This window comes from Homo sapiens, chromosome 11 (genome assembly GCF_000001405.40).
Source record: "Homo sapiens chromosome 11, GRCh38.p14 Primary Assembly".
Classification (NCBI taxonomy): domain Eukaryota; kingdom Metazoa; phylum Chordata; class Mammalia; order Primates; family Hominidae; genus Homo; species Homo sapiens.
Window position 1 is genome coordinate 116,835,507 of NC_000011.10, and position 21,008 is coordinate 116,856,514.

General features: G+C 49.5%; 2 protein-coding genes and 1 non-coding gene across 26 annotated transcripts in view, besides 1 other annotated feature; 1 reads left to right on the forward strand and 2 right to left on the reverse strand.

The window, feature by feature from the left end:
- On the reverse strand, nucleotides 245-2,116 carry APOA1 (apolipoprotein A1). 8 transcript variants are annotated; one of them, NM_001425093.1, is made up of 5 exons: nucleotides 2,099-2,116; nucleotides 1,839-1,901; nucleotides 1,495-1,651; nucleotides 680-905; nucleotides 245-634 (listed from the first exon to the last, which is right to left on the reverse strand). In NM_001425093.1, the coding sequence occupies exons 2-5, from the start codon at nucleotides 1,879-1,881 to the stop codon at nucleotides 302-304; spliced, it is 759 nt and encodes a 252-aa protein (NP_001412022.1). In that variant the 5' UTR covers nucleotides 1,882-1,901; nucleotides 2,099-2,116; the 3' UTR covers nucleotides 245-301. The 8 variants fall into 8 exon arrangements, with proteins under 8 accessions (NP_001412022.1, NP_001304950.1, NP_001412021.1 ...); NM_001318021.2 differs by having other exon boundaries at nucleotides 245-905; nucleotides 1,495-1,607; NM_001425092.1 differs by having other exon boundaries at nucleotides 245-905; nucleotides 1,495-1,643.
- APOA1-AS (APOA1 antisense RNA) lies at nucleotides 611-20,223 on the forward strand. Its single transcript, NR_126362.1, has 2 exons — nucleotides 611-733; nucleotides 19,784-20,223.
- The window catches only part of SIK3 (SIK family kinase 3), a 255,027-nt gene continuing 241,914 nt past the window's right edge, over nucleotides 7,896-21,008 (reverse strand). For 13 of the 17 annotated variants that reach the window (XM_017017424.2, XM_047426672.1, XM_005271482.5 and 10 more), the window contains 4 exons: nucleotides 13,614-13,777; nucleotides 11,970-12,102; nucleotides 10,877-11,047; nucleotides 7,896-10,123 (listed from right to left, as the gene is read on the reverse strand). In XM_017017424.2, coding sequence (XP_016872913.1) covers nucleotides 10,890-11,047; nucleotides 11,970-12,102; nucleotides 13,614-13,777 — 455 coding nt within the window. In that variant the 3' untranslated portion in view covers nucleotides 7,896-10,123; nucleotides 10,877-10,889. Of the gene's footprint in view, nucleotides 10,124-10,870; nucleotides 11,048-11,969; nucleotides 12,103-13,613; nucleotides 13,778-21,008 lie in introns of those variants that run through there. The other 4 variants (NM_001281749.3, NM_025164.6, NM_001281748.3 and 1 more) reach the window with 2 other exon arrangements.
- Nucleotides 17,453-17,522: a silencer, noted in NCBI's record as "silent region_3925". NCBI's record gives its function as "represses an Ori minimal core promoter by ATAC-STARR-seq in GM12878 lymphoblastoid cells {active_cell/tissue: GM12878}" and the evidence as "EXISTENCE:reporter gene assay evidence [ECO:0000049][PMID:35858748]".

Genomic DNA, 21,008 nt, shown 5'->3' on the forward strand with positions numbered 1-21,008 from the left:
TTGCCTGGTCCGCTGTGACTTCCTTTCTACTTGAGCCTTGCTAAGGCAGACTCTACTCCCTCACTCGTAAGCAGCCAGGCGTCCAGCAGGTCCTCCAACGTCGATCTTGGCCCTAAGACGTCCAGTCTGGGCACGGAGTTGTTGAGATCCGGCAGGAAGTCCCTGCTCCAGGGCCAAAGGCCCCACCCGGGCTCCCCCGGATGTCCCCGCACCCCCCTCTATTCTCCCAAAAGAAAGAAGCTGCTTCCCACTTTGGAAACGTTTATTCTGAGCACCGGGAAGGGGGGCGGCGGCGGGCGCCTCACTGGGTGTTGAGCTTCTTAGTGTACTCCTCGAGAGCGCTCAGGAAGCTGACCTTGAAGCTCTCCAGCACGGGCAGCAGGCCTTGGCGGAGGTCCTCGAGCGCGGGCTTGGCCTTCTCGCTGAGCGTGCTCAGATGCTCGGTGGCCTTGGCGTGGTACTCGGCCAGTCTGGCGCCGCCGTTCTCCTTGAGAGCCTCAAGGCGCGCGGCCAAGCGCTGGCGCAGCTCGTCGCTGTAGGGGGCCAGATGCGTGCGCAGCGCGTCCACATGGGCGCGCGCGCGGTCGCGCATCTCCTCGCCCAGTGGGCTCAGCTTCTCTTGCAGCTCGTGCAGCTTCTGGCGCGCGCCCTCTTGGAGCTCTGCGCGCAGCGGCTCCACCTTCTGGCGGTAGAGCTCCATCTCCTCCTGCCACTTCTTCTGGAAGTCGTCCAGGTAGGGCTGCACCTTGGCCTTCACCTCCTCCAGATCCTTGCTCATCTCCTGCCTCAGGCCCTCTGTCTCCTTTTCCAGGTTATCCCAGAACTCCTGGGTCACAGGGCCGAGCTGTTCGCGCAGCTTGCTGAAGGTGGAGGTCACGCTGTCCCAGTTGTCAAGGAGCTTTAGGCTGGAGGGTGAGACAGAAGGGTTGAGGGCTGGCCTCCCAGCGCCCCAGCCTATCAGGGGTGAGCCCTGGGTGACACCTGTCCGCGGAGGTGCAGTGGCCTAGCATTTCCAGTACACTCTCAACCAACACCCCTGCCCCGCCAGGCCATGCCCCGTTGTGCAGCTGGACCGAGGCACAGAGAGGAGCTAAAAAGGAGACAGAGCTGGGACTAGTGCCCAGTTACGTTGGTCTCCAAAGTGGGCCCTTGAAGGACCTCGCTTCTATGCCTCCAGCGCATTCTCCTCTCCGAAGACAGCCCACAGTCTTGCTGGGCAGGAGCAGAGGAGGTGGTGAAGAAGGGAAAGGGGCTTGCTACACTTGCAGGCACAATGTGGCTCTGTGATCACGCATCGGGCAGCCCTGGTCTGTCCTTTGCAGGGGACATGGGCTGTGACCCTGCCTGGAGATCCCATTCCAGTTTCTCCATCCAGACCATCTGTGGGGCCCAGCTCATCAGATATTAGGTGAGGACTCGGCCAGTCTGGCTTCAACATCATCCCACAGGCCTCTGCCCCCTACCCCTGCCCTCAACCCCAGGCTGGGTCCTTACTTTAGCTGTTTTCCCAAGGCGGAGCCTTCAAACTGGGACACATAGTCTCTGCCGCTGTCTTTGAGCACATCCACGTACACAGTGGCCAGGTCCTTCACTCGATCCCAGGGGCTCTGGGGGGGTTCATCTTGCTGCCAGAAATGCCGAGCCTGGCTCCCTGAGGGTGGGAGGGGAGACCCAGATCAGGCCAGCTGTGGGCTGAGATCTGAGCCGAAAGGCCAAGCTTGGAGGTGGGGGAGAGGGGGCCAGTGAGAAACCTGCTGCCTCTGCCCAGGAGGGTGGGCCACGGGGATTTAGGGAGAAAGCCCCCCGATGGTTGGCTCCCTAGGTTAGGGGACACCTACCCGTCAGGAAGAGCACGGCCAAGGTCAGCACCGCAGCTTTCATCCTGAAGGGCCGTGGGGGACCTGGAGGAGAAGAAGGGCCTGGCTGAGTGGGGTGCCTTCAGCATGCAGAAGCCCCGTGCTCCCCCACTCATTGCAGCCAGGTGAGGAGAAGGGCACAGAGCGGGAGAAGACCTCAGGTACCCAGAGGCCCGGCCTGGGGCAAGGCCTGAACCTTGAGCTGGGGAGCCAGAGTGACCGGGGCAGGCAGCAGGACGCACCTCCTTCTCGCAGTCTCTAAGCAGCCAGCTCTTGCAGGGCCTATTTATGTCTGCAGCCAGGGTCTGGGCTGGGAGGCTGATAAGCCCAGCCCCGGCCCTGTTGCTGCTCACTGGTCCTGGCAATGTGGAACTTAAGAGTTCAAGGATCAGCTCTGTCCCTGGGGCTGGGCAAATAGAGTGGGCAAACAGCAAGCTGCGGGGGCTGCAGGGCAGGGGTCAAGGGTTCAGTGGGGGCGGGAGGGGAGTGTCTGCAGGCTTGCAGGTCTCCCGGGTGGGGTCGGGGTTCCCTGCACTCATCCCCTTCCCCTCCATGGGAGTGTGTGGGCAGTTGCCATTGTCCATTGTGTTGGCAGAGGAGGGGAGGGGAGGGACGCTGGGACTCCTCCACCAAGGAGACTGCCTCCCCCACCACCAGCATTCCAGGGAGACTACTTCACTCCCCTCCCCCTTCCCCCGCCCTGTCCTCCCACCAGTGCTCTTCTTTAGTCCCCAGCAGGTCCTCCAGGCCTCTCTCCAAGCCTCCCAAACTGGTAAACCTGGGGAGAGGGGAGAGCCCTCCGTGGCTCCCAGACTGAGGTTTCGGAGACCTCTTGCATTTCAAAACACTCCAGAGATCAATTCGGAGCTGCCAACTTTTAATTTTGTCATGTAAAGATATTGTCCGCCTCCAAAAAACCCTCACCATCTACAGTGACCATCACTTCAAAAAGGAAAGGCTTTAACAAAAAAGGGCATAATCTCAGAATTACATTACAGAATTGAAGCCCCTTAGATTGAAGACGTCTCCCTTTGCATTGTTCACACTTATATTTGATCACGCACAGGTGTGACTGGATCTCAGCCCTTGGGAAGCCCTGGTGTGGGGAGAAGACCTCTGGGCAAAGGAAGTGGCAGGAGACCTGCTTTCTCATTTCACTTGGCCTCCATCTTGCTGGAGGAAGATCGTGGGCAAGTTATATAATCTCTCTGAGCCTCGGTTTTCTATCTGCAAAATGGGGCAAGAATGGTCAGGGTTGTTGGAGGCCCCTGAGACAGCCTGTGAATGTAAAGTGCTGTGTGTCCGTTGGTGTTTGCAGCACCATCTTGTCAGGTTTCTCCTGGAAGGCCCAGACCTCCCCCAGCAGGTTACTGATAGGACCTGAGTCCTAGAGCCTGTGATGCAGGCTGAGAGGAACTGTGACATCACTCCAGCCTCTCCCCATGCCACCATCTCACAGATGAAGAGACTGAAGAGCACAGAGGGACTTTGCCCAGAGGCTGTCATCTCTCAGGGAGTTAGAAGAAAGGCTGGACCTAGAACCCAGTCTCTGGACTTGGGATGCAGGGCAGAAATGTACCCTGTACCATCACTCCAGGAAACTCCCTAACACTAGAAACCAGGCTGACATCTCTGTTTACCAGATCAGGGAGTGGTCGGCCTCATGCCTTTCACTTCAGAGAAGATTCTGGAGCCAGAAAACCTCAAATCTAAGGGTCAGGCAGGTTCAAATCCAGCTGCCTGACCCTGGATGAGTTATGATACATCACCTCCCCACACATCAGTTTCTGATTGAAGATAATGATAGAATATGCCATCGCCCTGAGTTATGGCAGGGGTTACTGTGTGGCAAGCAGAATAACGCTCCCCAAAGATGTCCACAGCCTCATCCCTGGAACCTGTGGCTTTGCTACCTTCCATGGCAAAAAAAGATTTTGCTAGTGTGATTAAGGACCTGGAGATGGGGTGGTTGGCCTGGATTCTCCAGGTGGGCCCATTGTCATCACAGGGGTCCTTAATTATACAAGAGGGAGGCAGTGGCCTCAGAGTCAGAGAAAGAGATGTGAGGATGGCAGTGGAGATCAGACTCGTGACTGCTGGAAGGGGGCCATGAGCTGAGGGACATGAGCAACCCTTCCCTAGAAGCTGGAGAAGGCAAAGGATTTTTCCCTGCAGCCTCCAGGAGCACAGCTCTGCTGCCACCATGATTTTAGCCCAGTATGACCCATTTTGGACTTCTGTCCTCCATAACTGTAAGATAATAAATTTGTATCGTTTTAAGCATGAACTTTGAACATATATGCAAAACTGTTAGAAAGGTACCTAGCACTTAGTAAACAGTAACTATTCTGTTTTCTAGAATCCCAGTTTCTGGTAATGTATTCCCTTATTCCCACTACACTTGCTTTATCAGATCTGAGACCTCAGCTTCTGCAGCAGGCATGAAGGCAGCAGTCCCACATCTCTCTGCTTGTCCTTGACTTGCAGTTGCTGAGATATGGAACATCTTTTCTAGGACTGAAGTGGCCCCAGATGTCTATGGGACTGTGTAGACAGGGAGGTGGCCTTGGTGAGCCATCAGCCTGGGCTGCCTACTTGACCATCCCAGCTGTCTGTAGCTTTAGAAAGTGGGAAGGTGGCTGGTCCCCTGCTGGGACAGCTCACAGGTGTCTCGGGCCAAGAGAGCGTCTTTTCTTTTGGGGGGTAGAGTTTGTCCCAGTCAGCACATGGGGGAATCTCAGAAGCTTACTGGTTGGACTCCAAGATACTTGCCAGTGTTTCACCCTTCTCTTTGGTTTGTTACTAAAATGATTGTTATGGCTAAACCTAGTATTTAACATTTGCGCAGTTCTTTGTGGCCAAAGCACTTTCACAACTTAGAATATCCCTATAAGGCTGGAGGCCAGATTTTACCCTTGTGATTTTTGCCTGTGGGAAAACTGCAGCTCACAGCTGCCCTGCATCCTTCAGCGGTTACTATTTAGCGCTGGCAGGGGTGGGAATCGGGAGGCCTGGCTTCTAGTTCTTTGAGGGTGGCCTTGCACCCTTGCGGAGCCTGCAGCCTTTGCAGTCTGATCAGGGACTTCTCAGTTTCCTGGCTCAGGGACTGCGAGGCATCAGGATAGGGGGTGCTGTTGAACAGCATCTTACCAAGCAGGCAGTTTCCTTTTCTAAATATACTTATTCACCAGGGTGGCTACTCCATTTTATTGCAAGGTATTTGGCTTAAACTAGTCTAAGCCCCCTTTACTAATATTTTGGAAAGGAAGGAGGTCTTTCTGGACAGAGCTGATGGAAAAATACATAACAACAACAACGACAATAACAAACTGGGTTGATGACACACTCAGACTCAGGGTCCAGCCAGGCATTGTTCAAGGCACTCAGTGGCCACGGGTTGGACTGTTTGGTGGCTGCGGGGCCCACAGTGTAGGCCCCTGTTTCCACCCATTTCTTTCCCTCGTCTTGGGAGTCTCCAGAGCGACTGCTCCTGAACAGGGTTACCAAGTCCTGGCCCTGGATGCCCTGACATGTGTAGGAGTGTTGGCGGTGACCGCAAGAGTGGATTTTGCACAGAAAGATTAGCAACTCCTTTCACAATTTATGTCCAAACATACTGGTCCATCTGTATCGGGAGGACTCTGTCCCCTGCTAGGTCTGGCACATAACAGACACCTGCCAAACATCTGCTCAGTGAATGGCACTGGCACCCTAGAGGGAGGGTCACCAGCCTGGTCATAGGGAGGAGTGGGTCCTGGGAGGGGAGGCAGTCTCATACCAGCCCCTGCTCAGAACGTTTCTTCTGGGAGCACGTGGTATGAGCCAGAATGAGAGTTAGGGAGGGGAGGTGGTGACTGAGCAGGGGAGACAGGACCCCCACCCCCAGTAGTTCCTACTTTTGGCAATTTTGCTGCAGCTTTTGTGATAGAGCCCCAAGTTAGACCCTTGGGTGGGGCACCGTAGCCAGCTATGCAAGATTCTCTCCTGCCCTCCTGCTTGGAAAAGACTAAGGCCAGGACAGAGCTCATCTTTGATCAGCAGGAGGGAAGCACAGTAGCCCTCTGAGTTCTTGATCTTTGCAGTTGGGGTGGGGTGGGGGCTGGCACAAAGTCAGAAAGAAAACTGTGTAGAGCACGGTTTTCTGTCAACATGGCTCCTGTTTTCTGGAGCTAAGCTCTCCAGTCTGTATCCAGGAGCCAGTGCCCTGCTTCCTACAAAAGCTCACCCTACCTCTGGTCCAAAGGCACCCTGGCTGATTTTAGGAGGGAGTGGCACCTATTGCAACAGGTGCTACAATTTGCTGGAAGGCATCTGGGTATTATCACTGTTTGATTCTAGAGACTCACCTAGTCTTGCATGACAGCGTATACAGACTCAGAGGAGTTTTAGAAGGCCCTTCTTTTTTTTTTTTTTTTTTTTGAGACGGAGTCTCGCTCTGTCGCCCAGGCTGGAGTGCAGTGGCGGGATCTCGGCTCACTGCAAGCTCCGCCTCCCGGGTTCACGCCATTCTCCTGCCTCAGCCTCCCAAGTAGCTGGGACTACAGGCGCCCGCCACTACGCCCGGCTAATTTTTTGTATTTTTAGTAGAGACGGGGTTTCACCGTTTTAGCCGGGATGGTCTCGATCTCCTGACCTCGTGATCCACCCGCCTCGGCCTCCCAAAGTGCTGGGATTACAGGCGTGAGCCACCGCGCCCGGCCAGAAGGCCCTTCTTGAGAAGGCTCTTTTCTTCTCTAATCTAAATGGCCCTACAGCAACTTTCTAGCCGCCCTCATGGACTTGAAATCTTTCTTTTCTCTTTGCAGGAGTGCAGTGGTGCGATCACAGCTCACTGCAGCCTCAAACTCCTAGGCTCACATGATCCTTCAGCCTCAGCCTCCTGAGCAGCTGGGACTACAGGCATGTGCCACCAAGCCTGGTTATTTTTTGTAGAGGTGGGGGTCTTGCTATGTTGCCCAGGTTGGACTCCAACTCCTGGGTTTACCTAATTCTCCTGCCTCAGCCTCCTGAGCAGCTGGGATTACAGGCGCACGCCACCATGCCCAGCTTGGAAGGCTTTCTAAATTCCCTCCTCTCATTCTTCCTTCTGTGAACTCAGATGGTCTTTCCAGCTTCAGTAAGCTTTCTTCATAGAAGACCTTCAACCACCTGTCTCTTAGCCATGCCTGGAAACTTGCTGGAAACTCTACCCTGCCCTTTGGAGTTCAGGTGTGGGATAAAGGAGAAAACTATAGGAAAATTCCACCCCCGCTCCGCTTTTTTTTTTTTTTTGAGATGTAGTATCCCGCTGTCACCCAGGCTAGAGTGCAGTGGTGCAATCTTGGCTTGCTGCAGTAACCTCTGCCTCCTGGGTTCAAGCCATTCTCCTGTCTCAGCCTCCTGAGTAGCAGGGACTACAGGCACCTGCCACCACACCTGGCTAATTTTTGTATTTTTAGTAGACACGGGGTTTTGCCACATTGGCCAGGCTGGTCTCAAACTCCTGACCTCAGATGATCCACCCCCATCGGCCTCCAGAAGTGCTGGATTTACAGGCGTGAGCCATGCCAGGCCCCTCCCTTTCTTTCCAAATACTTATTTGGCTATCCTTTCACTCGGCCAATGGGGGTCACGTCATGAAGGGTCCAGCCTGTGTCCACTCTTTAAGGATCCTTCCCTGTACTCTTCAAAAGTGCCCTTTCAAGGAAGCTGTTTTCCACCTGGCCCAGCAAATTCAAATGCTCCCTTCTGACAGGGCAGAGTCCGAGCTGGGTGCCCAGGGACACAGTGTGAAGCAGAGTTCAGGCTTCTAGAGAATGCGAGTTTCTTAAGTCACTCAAAGCCCCACCCTTAGCCTGGGAGACCTCTCCAGCCTCCACTGCTCCAGCTCCCACCTACCTGAGGCTTCTTCCAACTAGACTCCAAACCACAGGCAAATAATCTATCAGCCTAAGAACACAATCAGGCTCCTATCTACACAACTTCCTGCTGTCCAACTAAGTAACCAAGTTGTAAGTAAGTGCCTCACAAAAGGAAGGACAAAAGGCAGGACAAAAGGTCTTAGCAACTTGAGTCTGGAGATTTTTTTTTTAATCCTTTTTAGTTCAACATAAAATGAGAAAGAAAAAAATATTTCTGACATTTTCAAAGAACAGAAATAGGAAAGTATGTTCATATACATTCAACGTATACTGCACATATTGGTTACTACAATACAAAGCAATGAGTTTTTTTTAAAGTGTAGTTTGCAAGATGGCACGGTTAGTAGGCTCACTGGCTTTCATCTGTTGTTGCTGGAGGGTGCAGTCTGCTCTCCCATACATACAGTACCATGTAAACACATCAGGCTGAGCGCGTGGTGGTGGTAGGGCAGGTTGGGGGCATAAGAGTTGGAACAAGCGCAGATAAGTCAACAGCTTTTTAGGGCTTTCTTGGTAAGCCCCCTTCTGGTGAGTAGTTGGTGACCCCACCAAGTGGAGGGGAGACTGGGGACCATGGAAACATGGGACAGCTCCCACGAAGGGCTCTTGCACTGCAGAATTCCACTCAAGGGATCTTGGGTCCAGGAGCCGAGCTGCCAGTATCAGTGGAGAAGGACAAGGTGCATGGGGATCCCGCCAGCAACATCAGGATGGCCATGCCGGGCACCCGCTTTCCTCTGTGCAAATTCAGGATGAAAGACTAGGAGGGGACTCGGGACCTCTTGCTCTCCTTTCCCAGAAAAAAAAAGGGTGGAAGAGTCAGTGTATTCAAGGTCTCTCTCTTGTTTTGAAGATCAGAAGGAGATAACCCAGACCCTCTCTCAGCCCCAGCCAGCAGAGAAGACTTTGGTTTCTAACAATGAAGAGAAATAAAGATAACACAAATAATAGCTACTGCGTATGCACTGCTTCAACTGGGGAAAGGAGACCACTGCATCTGTCACTGGCACAAGTAAGAGCTGTTCACAATTACAATGCCTAAAGGAAATACTTTGAACAAAAGGTGCAAGTCACAATTCAAATAGAACAGAATCTGGTTAAACATTTCTCATTTAAACAAAAATTCCTTTTCTCTTTATTTATTAATAATGATAATAACAATAATATCAACATTTACCAAAAACAATTTCTACATGATCAAGAATTAAAATATAGGGGCTGAGGGTACCCAGTGGGGAAGAGGAGGTTAGGAGAGAGGCAGGGCCCAAGGCAACCTCCTACACTTCTTCCCTGTGACAAAGAGGCTGAAAGAGGAGAGCATATATATATATATTTTATATATATATTATATATATAATATATATATAATATATTATATTATATATTATATATATAATATATATATACACATATATTATATTATATATATACACACATATATAATATATATATGGAGAAACAATCCTTTTTATAGCACAATATAAAATGAGAATGAAAGATGCCATAGAAAGCATAGTGCACTGCTGTTGGGTGTTCAGTCCATGGATAAAACCAGCAGGATGATAAAGGCAACCAACTTTCCAGGTTACAAGAGGGGAGCTGAGTTATCCACCAAAAGCAAAGGCTCAAATTGAGACATCCTAACTGGCAAACCATCTATGCCAGGTCATTCTCAGCCTCCGTGCCAAACTCTTCATATGATCTTGGCTAGGACAGACATGTTTTCCGTGGATCCCAGCAGTAAAGACCTCTCTGCGTTCCAGGCTTGGGGGTTTCTCTTTTTTTGTTCTTTTTGTTTTCTAAGTGCCAGAAGCCGTCACCCTTCCTCTCTCCCTTTGCCTGCCATTAGGATTCCAGAGGATGGCATCCTTTAGTATTTGCTTTCACAGAAGAGCAATGCAGGGGGATGGAGGGTGCTCTGCTGATGAAGGCTAGGGAGGGAGTGGCCCTGAGGCCGCTGGCCTCTGAACTCTAACTGCTTTGCTCTCCTGTTTCAAAAAAGGAACGAAAGAAAAAAAAGAAAGGAAGAAAAAAAAGAAAGTATATCACCTCTGGAAGAAAACATACCAAAAACAAAACAAAACACAAACCCCCAAACAAAACAAAAAACCACCAACTCAAATATACTTTCACAAAAGATGGAGAACATGGATTTCCTTCCTGTTTATTTCCTTGGTGACTTGGTCATACAAGCAAACATGGCAAAACCCTCTCAGAACCCAAAAGAACAGCACACGGATGAACCAAATGTGAGGAAAGCAGCTGTGATATTTTGGGTGGAGAGAAACACAAGGGCAATTTGGCACAACGCTGCTAGATACTGTGGGTTTACAATCAACCTTTTCATTCCCAAGCTGTACACAAAACCTGGAATAAAGCAGACACAGAGGAGAATTAGTTTGAAAAGAGAAAGGCTCAAATATTCCATTTAAAACCTTTTAAAAAATGCAACGGGTTTACTTTCCCTCAGGTGTTCAGGTAGCTTGCCATACTGAGGCTCTGATGTGGATTTGCCAAGTGGCTTCCCTTTCATCAGGCCTCTTCTGTCAAGGATTTTCCAGATACAACCAATGGTGCCTGCTGTGTACTCTTTGCATTACTCCAGCCAAACAAGCCAATTTCCCCATTCTTTCTACCATGGGCCTCTCATCACACATTTCCCTAATCTGGAATATCCTGCCACTTGCTTCTGTATGGCCTTAAAAAATATGGCTGGACATATTTTCCTGCCAGGTTTTGTCTTTTAGGACTGAGTTTAAGGACTTCCTCCTTTCCTCATTATGCTGACCGGAGGTCACCTGCATCCTCTGGAGCCGTAGCTCACTTCTGTCGCTATGAAGGCTAGAGCACCTGTAACACACGGCGAGTCTTGTGTCTTATTCCCATAACCGAACCAAGAGACTGTGTTTAGCATTTCTTCTGCACACCCCCACCCCTACCTCGCGCCCTAAAACTAGCAGCGTCGTTAATGAAAAGCAAGAAACTGTGAAGGCCACGAGGGGAGGCGTGGTACTGTCGACTGCACTGGCCACCACAACACATGGGCTGAAGCTCCTGATGGGATTGGGAGCAGGCACTGGGCCACAGGGCTGGTTTGGCTCTGGCCAGGGTGACACTCACTCTCTGTTTCTTGTTACACGCCTGCCTGCTCCATGCTGAAGGAGACTTCGGGGTGCTTGTAGCTGAGCAGAATGTCTGTAATACACGTAGATGGATAGCAAGAGGAGTTTAAATGCTGGCTGCCATCACTCAGGTCTGGGTGCTCATGACCTCCCAGGCTTGCCCCACATTCTGCAAGACCAAAAAGAACGTATGAGGTTGGCAGGGAACTGGGGGACTAGGAGAGCAAGGGGGAGAGAGAGGAGGAATTGAAGGCAACCTGTCGAGCATCCCACAGCCTGACTCCCAGCCCTGAATTCTAGCTCACAGCAGGCCCTCAAGGTGTTGAGTGACGATGGGCGGGGGCCAAGATTCTTCCTATATTCTCCTCTACCTGTTCTGCTTTTTTCCCTTTTCCTTTACCCTTTCCCATCCTTAGGTAAGATCAACTACTGTAGTGTGAGAGAAGATAGAGGACTCCTTCAGAAAGGATCACCTCTTAAAGAGTGAAAGGGAGAATAATTTTACTGCCTGCAGGCACCCATTCCTGGGCACTGTCTGTCTTCCAGACACTGTGCTAAGCACTTGATACTCACTAAGCCAGCCAGCCCTCAGGGCACAATGTAGGATAAAGGCTCTATCGTTTTTGCCACTTTACAGATGAGGATCTCGGGGTCCAGAAAGCCAAGTGCCTCACCTGCAGAGCCTGAAAAGGACAGCCTTGGGACTGGTGGCAGACCTGCCCCGCCCAAGGCCTACGCCTATTATTTGTTATGACACCCTCCCTTGACTGGCTCCAAGAAGAGGTAGAAATGTGCCATTAGGACCTGATGCCCTCTAAGCAGAACTGGAAAAAGTGATTGAAGGCATATCATCACAGAGATGAGAGACAGGAATGGGAGAGCCCTGTGCCATCTGGCCAGAAGCCACACCTCCTTTACACACCCACACTCAGGGAAGACCAGTGGGGAAAGGGGCTGTGTCCAGAACCTGTGGGATGCTGTGGCTCTACCTCCCCATGAGCTCTTCCTACGAAGAGAGGAGCAGTTACGGAAGATGGAGGGAGGCCCCTCCAGGAACTTCTCTGGAGTGCCCCATGCATAAGGCTCCTCACCCTCATTTTCCCCATCCTGAAACTGCTGGCTGCCCATGAGCGAAGACTGACTGAGAACTGCATCCGACATCCGGGCAGAGCTAAGTGCTTTCCCAGCCACGAGACTCATTCCTGGCAAGTTATCCAGCTGTACCTGCAGAAAACAGTTAAGAGAAGAAATAAGCACACAAGACACCACTCTCAGGCAACCCCTAGAGACAGCTGGTCCTTCTGAAGGAGCCCAGGCAAAAGACAGCCCGGGGCCCCACTCCAGACTCCTTCCTCTAAAGCACCACCCAAAGGGGGTGCTCCACAGCGACAGTGTGGGAAGCTGCTTGGCTCTGCCCAGTGGGGGGGCTGAGGGTGGGGCGGATGTGGCAAATCTCAGCTGGTGGTGACATCTTGATACCTACATGGCCTTCTAAAACCAGGTTTCTGACCTATCCCCATCTCCACTGGGACTTTGTCTTAGGACAGCACCGTCCAGTCACACTCTGCAGTGATGGAAATGTTCTCTGTCCTGTCCAATATGGTAACCAGTAGCCACAAGTGGCTACTGAGCACTTAAAGTGTGACTGGGCTGGGCACGGTGGCTCATGCCTGTAATCCCAGCACTTTGGGAGGCTGAGGCTGGTGGATCATGAGGTCAGGAGATCGAGACCATCCTGGCTAACACGGTGAAACCCCGTCTCTACTAAAAATACGAAAAATTAGCTGGGCTAAAAAAATTTAGCTCTACTAAAAATACAAAAAAGGGTGGCGGGCGCCTGTAGTCCCAGCTACTCGGGAGGTTGAGGCAGGAGAATGGCGTGAACCCGGGAGGCGGAGCTTGCAGTGAGCCGAGATTGCGCCACTGCACTCCAACCTGGGTGACAGAGCAAGACTCTGTCTCAAAAAATAATAATAATAAAAAATAAAGTGTAACTGGTGTGACTGAGGAACTGAATTTTAAATTGTTTTTAATTTTAATTGGTTTAGATTTGAATAGCCACATGTGGCTAGCTACTAGACTAGCACCACCCTAGGAAAACAAAACTTTGCTGAGGCCCACCAGCTCCCCTGATCTGAGTAAGCTCAATGTAGCTGCTGAAAAATAACCAGAAGCCTATGGGCTCATTTGCTGGGGCCTGAGTTTAGACTGAGAAGAGGTTTAATAACCAAAACTACAGGGAACAGATGGCAACTATTTCTGATTCTTTGGTCTAAAATTTGGAGCATAGATTCTACTTGAATTAAGGTTTGGTCTGTTAGGGTGACTCAAAGAAAATGCTCTTAAGGTAGGCGAATTGCCTGAGCTCAGGAATTCGAGACCAGCCTAGCCAACATGGTAAAACCCCATGCCTACTAAAAATACAAAAATTAGCCAGGTGTGGTGGCAGGCACCTGTAGTCCCAGCTACTCAGGAAGCTGAGGCACAAAAGTCACTTGAACTGGGGAGGTAGAAGTTGCAGTGAGCTGATATCGCGCCACTGTCCTCCCGCCTGGGCGACAGAGTGAGACTCCATCTCAAAAAAGAAAAAAAAAGAAATGCTCCCCACCGTTTCCAGAAAGGCTGAATGCTGACTGAGGAGAGCGGCCAAGAGAGGCTACCCCACATCACTATACTCTGTTTCAAGGCTGGGACTGGGAGGATCCACCTCTGTGCAGCAGGTGGGACCAACATACATAAGCATCGTCGCTGTTCTGGATCGTGTGGTGTCTCTGGAGGGCCCGGGGCCTGTGGTGCTCATGGACGGAGGGGCGTGCTGGGTACCCGAGCCCATTGTGATCCGGCAGCTCCACTGCTTGTCCTGGAGAACTTCTATCCATGCAGTTCCCTATGACAGGCTCTGAGGAGACACAGCAGAATAGAGTCAGTGGGGCGGAACTTCTCCCAGCACTGGAAACTCCCATCCAAGAAATGTCTTGCAAGGGACAATGGGCAAGGCTGAGGAGATCATGTACACCAACCGCTGATCCTCAGCCGGCGTCATGGCTTAGAGGAGCCTGGACCAGCCCTCCAAAAGACGAGCTGTAGGGGAGGGGACCACACCCTTAGGGAAAAAATTCCACGTAACAGGGCATGGCTGGACCCCACCGAACCTTCTCTTCTTTCATTTCTCTGTTGAATTAACAGTGATCTATTCCCAAACCTAAATGCACATGAGAATTACTCTCGGAGCTTTCAGGACCCTCTAGCCCTAGAGGATGCATCTGTTCTGTGGCTGGCTGCGTCCTCTCTCCTCCCCCGGTGACCTCAGTGTACCACGCTGCTACTCTCCTCTTTCTACTTCTCTAACTGCTGCTTCTGACTCCTTTGATGGCCCCTCCACCCTTTCTAAGCAAGTACTCTCCACATTTTTGTCCTTGACCTTCTCTCTCCCCACACTTACTCTGGCAACATCATCTATTTTCATGGCTGTACTGCCTTTATGTAAAGAATTACTGAAGTGCTCCTTTAAGCCCCAGATCCATACTTCCAGCTACTTACTAGGTATCTTTCCCTGGATATCTAACCAGCATGTAACACTTACCATGTCCAATTCCAAACCCATCCACTTCCCCCATAACCTGCTACTCCTTCAGACATTGTCGTTTTGATGCCTCATTTTCCAAATCTTCCAGGCATAAGCTCTTGGGGCCACTATTGATTCCTTACTCCTGGTGCTGAATCTAACTCTGCAATGCTGGTCACTTCAGTCCCTTTGTTGCCAATCTCATGGAAACCTGATTACCTCTTGCCTGGATTATTATGCTAGCCTCATAACCAATCCCCTACTACTACCCTACAAAGACCAACCGTTCTGTAGTCCATTCACTTTCATTTTACAACACTGCCCTGGGCTATCTTCCAATCAGTGTCTCATATTCCCCTCTCCATACATTCTAAGCTCTAGTCAAATGGGACCACTTAACTGTTCCCCATCTATGCACAATTCTATGCATTTGCCCTCACTGTTCCTTCTATCTGCAAATAACTGATTCTTCTGCCTTCACTCCTGCCAATCCAAAGCAACTCATCATTCTACATCCATTATCATATGCTATTGTTTTTATTAAACTTTTCCTTTCAAACAGAAATAGATCATCTCTTCCTTTAAACTTCAAAAGACTTTGTCTCTGATTGCTCTAACATTATCCTTGGTACCATGTTCAATTATGTACTTAATCATTCACATTAGACTATAAATTCTTTGCAGGCAAGAACTATATCTCATGTATGTCTGTGAATCTTCAGTGTTCTAGAACATTGTCCTATACCCAGTATTATGATCTCTTTCACTGATGTCAGTAAATGCTCTTTAGGCCGGGTGCGTGTAATCCCAGCATTTTGGGAGGCCGGGGCGGGTGGATCACCTGAGGTCAGGAGTTTGAGACCAGCCTGGCCAACATGGTGAAACCCCACCTCTACTAAAATTACAAAAATTAGCTGGGTGTGGTGGTGTGCACCTGTAGTCCCAGCTACTCAGGAGGCTGAGGCAGGGGAATTGCTTGAACTCAGAAGGCAGAGATTGCAGTGAGCCAAGACCATGCCACTGCACTCCAGCCTGGGCAACAGAGTGAGACTCTATCTCAAAAAAGAATAATAAAAATAAATACTCTCTTAATATGGGTTACTATCCTGTCAGAGCATACCATTCTATGGACTAGAATTGGAGAGAAAAAGGAATGAGTACTTCTTCTTGATCAAGGATAGTCAAGAAGACTATCAAAGCCACACCTATGTTGACAGGATCCTCCTGGTAGCACTTTTGACTTCAGTCTTTAAAAGCCTGGGACTTGAAAATAAGTTGTGTTTGCTTGGTTGGTTTTCTGAGTTAAAGCTTCTTGGAAACTACTGAGCTTATCTTGGATGAACTGACTCTTGGTGGGACTAAGTTTAAAACAAAAGCTCTTAATAGCAAACACAGCTGTAATGCTAACTGTGCCATTCCAATGATCTATTTAAATAATGAAAGTAAAGCATACTTCTTGAATGTTGGGTAAAGGATTTCAGGTCTCTGTATTTCAATGGTTTTCTATAATGATTAAGGTTAGGCTGGGACTTAGGGGCAGAGGCAGGATGGAAAGGGAGGGGAGCTAACTGACATGCCCATTGCTAGTAATGCAAGACATTCTGGAGAAAAATTAGAGGAGGGAGCTTCCCAGCTACCAAAGATGATGGCAAGTGAGAAATCTTTTGAAAGTTCTCTGAGCAAAGAGGTAAAAGGAACAGCCAGAAGCCAACTATTTTGCTACAGAAAGCTAAAAGCCAGCAGAGAGAAGATAAAAGAAAACCTACACCAGGACTTGCTCTGTGGGATTAGCCCGCCCGTCCTACCCACTCTGCCCAATTCCTCTCAGTGGGCACTGCTCGCATGTTGGCGCCAGGGCCAACCAAAAACCACTGGCAGGAAGTGGGGCAACATGGTTGTGTGGGAGTGAGGAAATGGTGATTCTGTCTGCTTTGCCAAGAAGCAATGCGAGCAGCCGCTTCTTACTTTTTCAAAAACCTATATTGTCTTCTTTGATAACTAACATCATCCACTCAATTCCTCGGGGTGCTTTTTTCCTTTAAGCCTGATTATATAGTTGGATGCAAATCTCATCAGTTGCATCTCTTTGCTCTCCGCAAGGACAAACATGAGCGCTCTCCTGTTTAAAGATTTTTAAAACATCATTACTAACCATGAGGAAACAGCAAAGCTAACAAAATGTATATAGTCCTGGTTGGAGCCTTCCTGCCTCTTCTGGAGGCCTCAGTGTTTTGGTTTGTTTGCTGTGTCTTTTAAGGCTCTTTTCCTTCCCTCTCTCAGACTTGTTTTTATCCCTGAGAATGGGGCCTCTGCAAACCAAAACACCCACCCTCCTTTGGGCTCTGCCTTGTCTGCTGTCTTCCCCGCCTTCAGGTCTGATGCCTGTAGGCACCAAGACAGAGCAAGCAACCACCTGACAAATCATGTAGGGGGCCTTCCTGACTCCCAGCCCAGAGCTCATCCCTCAGCCAAGCTGGAGTTGAGCACAAGGGTCATGAGCACAAGTTCTGGGGTCAGGAAGAGTTGGCCGTGAATCCTGGCTTAGCTGCTTCCTGAGGAGCAGGAGCTCGGGCAAGTTATCTTGCTTTGCTGGGTCTTAGTTATCTGTACAACTGGACTGACTCCATGGGTGTGGAGTGCTTCATAGAGGTTACTACACTGTAAAGGCTCAATAAAGTCTAGCATGATTTATATTCAGTTTAGAGATGTTATTTCTGAGTGCATAAGGACGTGCTGAGTCAGCTGACAAAAACAAACAAGGAAATTGATTTAATCACAGAACCCTGCTTGCAGAATTATGAGGGACAATATACCCATATGTAAATGAACAAATGACTCAGGGAAACTTTAATTTCCAGGAGAAGCCTCTGATTCAGGACAGACAAATGTCAGTTAAAAGCCAGATGAAAAAGAGTATTAATAGGAGTCAGGGGATACCCCAGGGCTCTGTCTGCTCAAGTTTCAGTATCATCAGTAGGTCAAAGACCTGGAAGGGCTAGCATCTTTCACTTGGCAGCTGTGCTTGGAGGGTGCAGAGTGGGCAAGGAGGCGTAAAGGAAAAAATACATGACCAGGGGATCAGAAAACTTGAAGTCAGGACCCAGCTCCCTCACCAGCAAAGTGTTGGCAAATCTTTCAGCTTCTCCTCAAGGTTCCTGATCTGAAAAATGACGGTTGTTTGGGGGCTCGAAAAGACAACACATGTGAAAGAGTCTTTAATCAACTGTAAAAGACCAAATAAGTCAAGTCTGATTTTTGGTAAGAATGCTGACCCTGAGTCTAGAAGTCCTTTGTGACACTCTATAAATAAGACCCTATCGACCATTTTGGGGGGTACAAACAGACTAACCCACTGCCCAAGGAACATGACATTCAGGATCAAATCTTTGGCAACCCTTTATGCCAATTCAGCAGCTACCAAAGTCATGGAGGAAAGATGGTTCCCAAGAGCTACATGCTCGAATATTTATCAAACTAAAGCTAAGAGAGTGCAGAGGTGGGATGATCGTCCGATCACACAAGGGGAAAAGTGCACAAATGGACACAATGCACGCCACCCACCTTCCCGGGGAACTTTGGGGCAACCTGCACAATTCTCTATTGAATCTGTCAATGTTGACTCGTCCTGACTCACTTACTGGGTTTTGAGAGAAAATGGGAGCAATAACGTGACTGCATACTCCCCTTAAAGGTTCTGGGGTAACCCCTCCCACTCTGTCAGCATTTTACTGCTCTATGAGGCCTGAGTAATAAAGCTGAGGCTGACTGAGCTCAGAGAAGAGGATGTGGTTTTCTTTGTGAGTTCCAGTTGGTAATCTCATGGTGTAGATTGGTTATGCTGCTGTGTTTATTTGCAAAGTCAAAAAGATCAAGTGTGTGTACCACTATAGAAGAAAGACAAACCTTGTTTTTCCTTCTAGGGTGGCAGGCAGGGAGATTACGGACAGCATGGGGCATGTGAAATCCTGACACTTCTACAAATTGGGAAGAAACCTTTGGCATGCTGCCTGCTTAGTGCTCTCACAGTGCCTGGCCTCATACTGGCTGGTGGCAAATCGCCATCAAGGAAATAGGTAACCATGGACACTGATATGATGGCATCTAATTTTCCTTTACTAATACCAATATGGCTGGGTGTGGTGGCTCATGCCTGTAATACCAGCATTTTGGGAGGCCAAGAAGGGAGGATTGTTTGAGCCCAGGAGTTCAAGATCAGCCCCGGCGACATAGCAAGACCCCATCTATACCAAAGGAAAAAAAAAATTAGCTGGGTGTAGTGGCACGCGCCTGTAGTCCCAGCTGCTCAGGAGGTTGAGGTGGGAGGACTGCTTGAGCCCAGGAGGTCGAGGCTGCAGTGAACCGTGGTTGCACCACTGCACTCTAGCCTAGGTGACAGAGCAAGACCCTGACTCAAAAAGTAACTAAATAACACCAACAATCCCTGTTCATCTACCCTTAAGAAATGCTAAGAAGATCACACTAGCTCTGCTCTTCTCAGTGATACTTCTTGCAGCACTCAGTACCTAGCACTTCATAGCAAAGCTGTTTATGAGCTTGTTTTACATCCCCTAGTAGAGTAGAAGCTCCCTGAGGACAGGTTATCCTTTCATCTCTGCATTCTCACAGCACCTACAGTAGAGTCTTGTGCAACACAGTTGAGATGGAGGGACCATTAAAAGAAACAGCAGGCATTCCTTCCTGGCAAAAAGGTTGAGAAGAGTGAGCTCCCCCACTTGCCTGCAGAGTGGTGGGGGCACAGCATTATAAGCCTTTCGTGACAGAAGTGAACAGCAAATTATCTGATGATTTTTTCAGTAAAGTAAAAATGTAAGCTCTGGAGTTTTTAAAAGAAACCTGAAAGCCAGGCATGGTGGCTCATGCCTGTAATCCCAGCACTTTGTGAGGCCGAGGTGGTTGGATCACTTGAAGTCAGGAGTTCAAGACCAGCCTGGCCAACATGGTGAAACCCCGTCTCTACAAAAAAAAATTAGCCGGGTGCGGTAGTGCACACCTGTAATCCTAGCTACTTAGGAGGCTGAGGCAGGAGAATCGCTTGAACCCAGGAGGGGTAGGTTGCAGTGAGCCGAGATCGTGCCACTGCACTCCAGCATGGGTGACAGTGTGAGACTCTGCCAAAAAAAAAAAAAAAAAAAAAAAAAACTTGAGTTTTTTTCACAGTACAGCTGAATCTAGACGATGCATTTTAGAAAACCTCTGTCCTTAGCTTCTACTAATGCCTTCATGTACACTGTACTTCAAACCAGCCAAGCCTGCTGCTGTCCTTGGAAAATTCCTTGAGACAGTCTCACCCATTGTTCTTTTCTCTTGCTTCTCCTCTAGATCCAAATGGCAAACCTTCTTCATCCACCAGGACCCAACCCACAGGCTACTTATTGCTGGAAACCTACGTTGTTCCTTGGATTGAAGTAATCTCTCCCTCCTCTGGTGCGCCCACAGCACTTGCACCAACAGTGGGTACTCAACAGACTAGCGTGCCTGCCGAAGAAGGGGTCCTCTGACAATCAGGGGACAATGGGGAATTATGCTCTCCAGACTTTCTACACACACAAGTCACACAGGAAGGAAGGTAAAGAGAAACTAGAGAAAATAATTTTTGAAGAAAAACATTTCAGGAAGTATTGAAAGTACACGGTAACTCAGCCTGGGGCAGGGGTGGAGGGCAGCAGCACTGTTTGCTGCAGCTATGCTCCTTCCTCAGTGCCCTGCACACCCGGGACTTGCTCGGTGAGCATCTCTCGTGTCAGTGACAGCTAGTGTGAGTACTCTTATGTTCAGCTGCCCCTGACTACCTCTTGACTTTGGGGACAAGTTACTTAATCTCTGTGCCTCCGCTGTTTCACTGGTAAATGGGAATAAGAGTTGGTTATTCTAGGGTTGTAGGGTTGTTGTAAGGATTAAATGAATCCGTATGTGAACAGCATTTGGTGCCTGGCACATGTGAGCTCAGCCGGGCGCGGTGGCTCATGCCTGTAATCCCAGCACTTTGGGAGGCCAAGGCGTGCGGATCACGAGGTCAGGAGATCGAGACCATCCTGGCTAACACGGTGAAACCCTGTCTCTACTAAAAATACAAAAAATTAGCCGGGCGTGGTGGCGGGCACATGTAGTCCCAGCTACTCGGGAGGCTGAGGCAGGAGAATGGCGTGAGCATTGTAGGCAGAGCTTGCAGTGAGCTGAGATCGCACCACTGCACTCCAGCCTGGGTGACAGAGCAAGACTCCGTCTCAAAAAAAAAAAAAAAAAGAAACGTGAGCTCATCTCCTTTTCATGCCAACTATAGTGTGCTAATCTGCTGGAAGCTTCCATTTGCAGGGGAATCTTTTCCACAACATCCCCATACCATTATCCCACCTCTGTTAGAAAGCTCCCAGGCTGCTAAGGCAGCCTGTTCTGGAGAGTTCTTATAAAGGTCTTCCACAGGGTGTTGAAATTTGCTGCAACTTCTATCTTGATCTTGGTTCTGCCCCATAATATGAACCCAGAAAAATCTAATCCCTTCTTCCATCTAACAAGCGTGATGTTTCTCTTAGTTTTTCCTCCCAAT

Bases quoted from the DNA above. Each gene is read 5' to 3' on its own strand.
- APOA1 (NM_000039.3), bottom strand. From the start codon at position 1,881: ATGAAAGCTGCGGTGCTGACCTTGGCCGTGCTCTTCCTGACGG. The intron at 1,652-1,838 runs GTAGGTGTCCCC...TCCCACCCTCAG, and splicing joins GGCCGTGCTCTTCCTGACGG to GGAGCCAGGCTCGGCATTTC. The intron at 906-1,494 runs GTAAGGACCCAG...CTCACCCTCCAG, and splicing joins GCCTTGGGAAAACAGCTAAA to CCTAAAGCTCCTTGACAACT.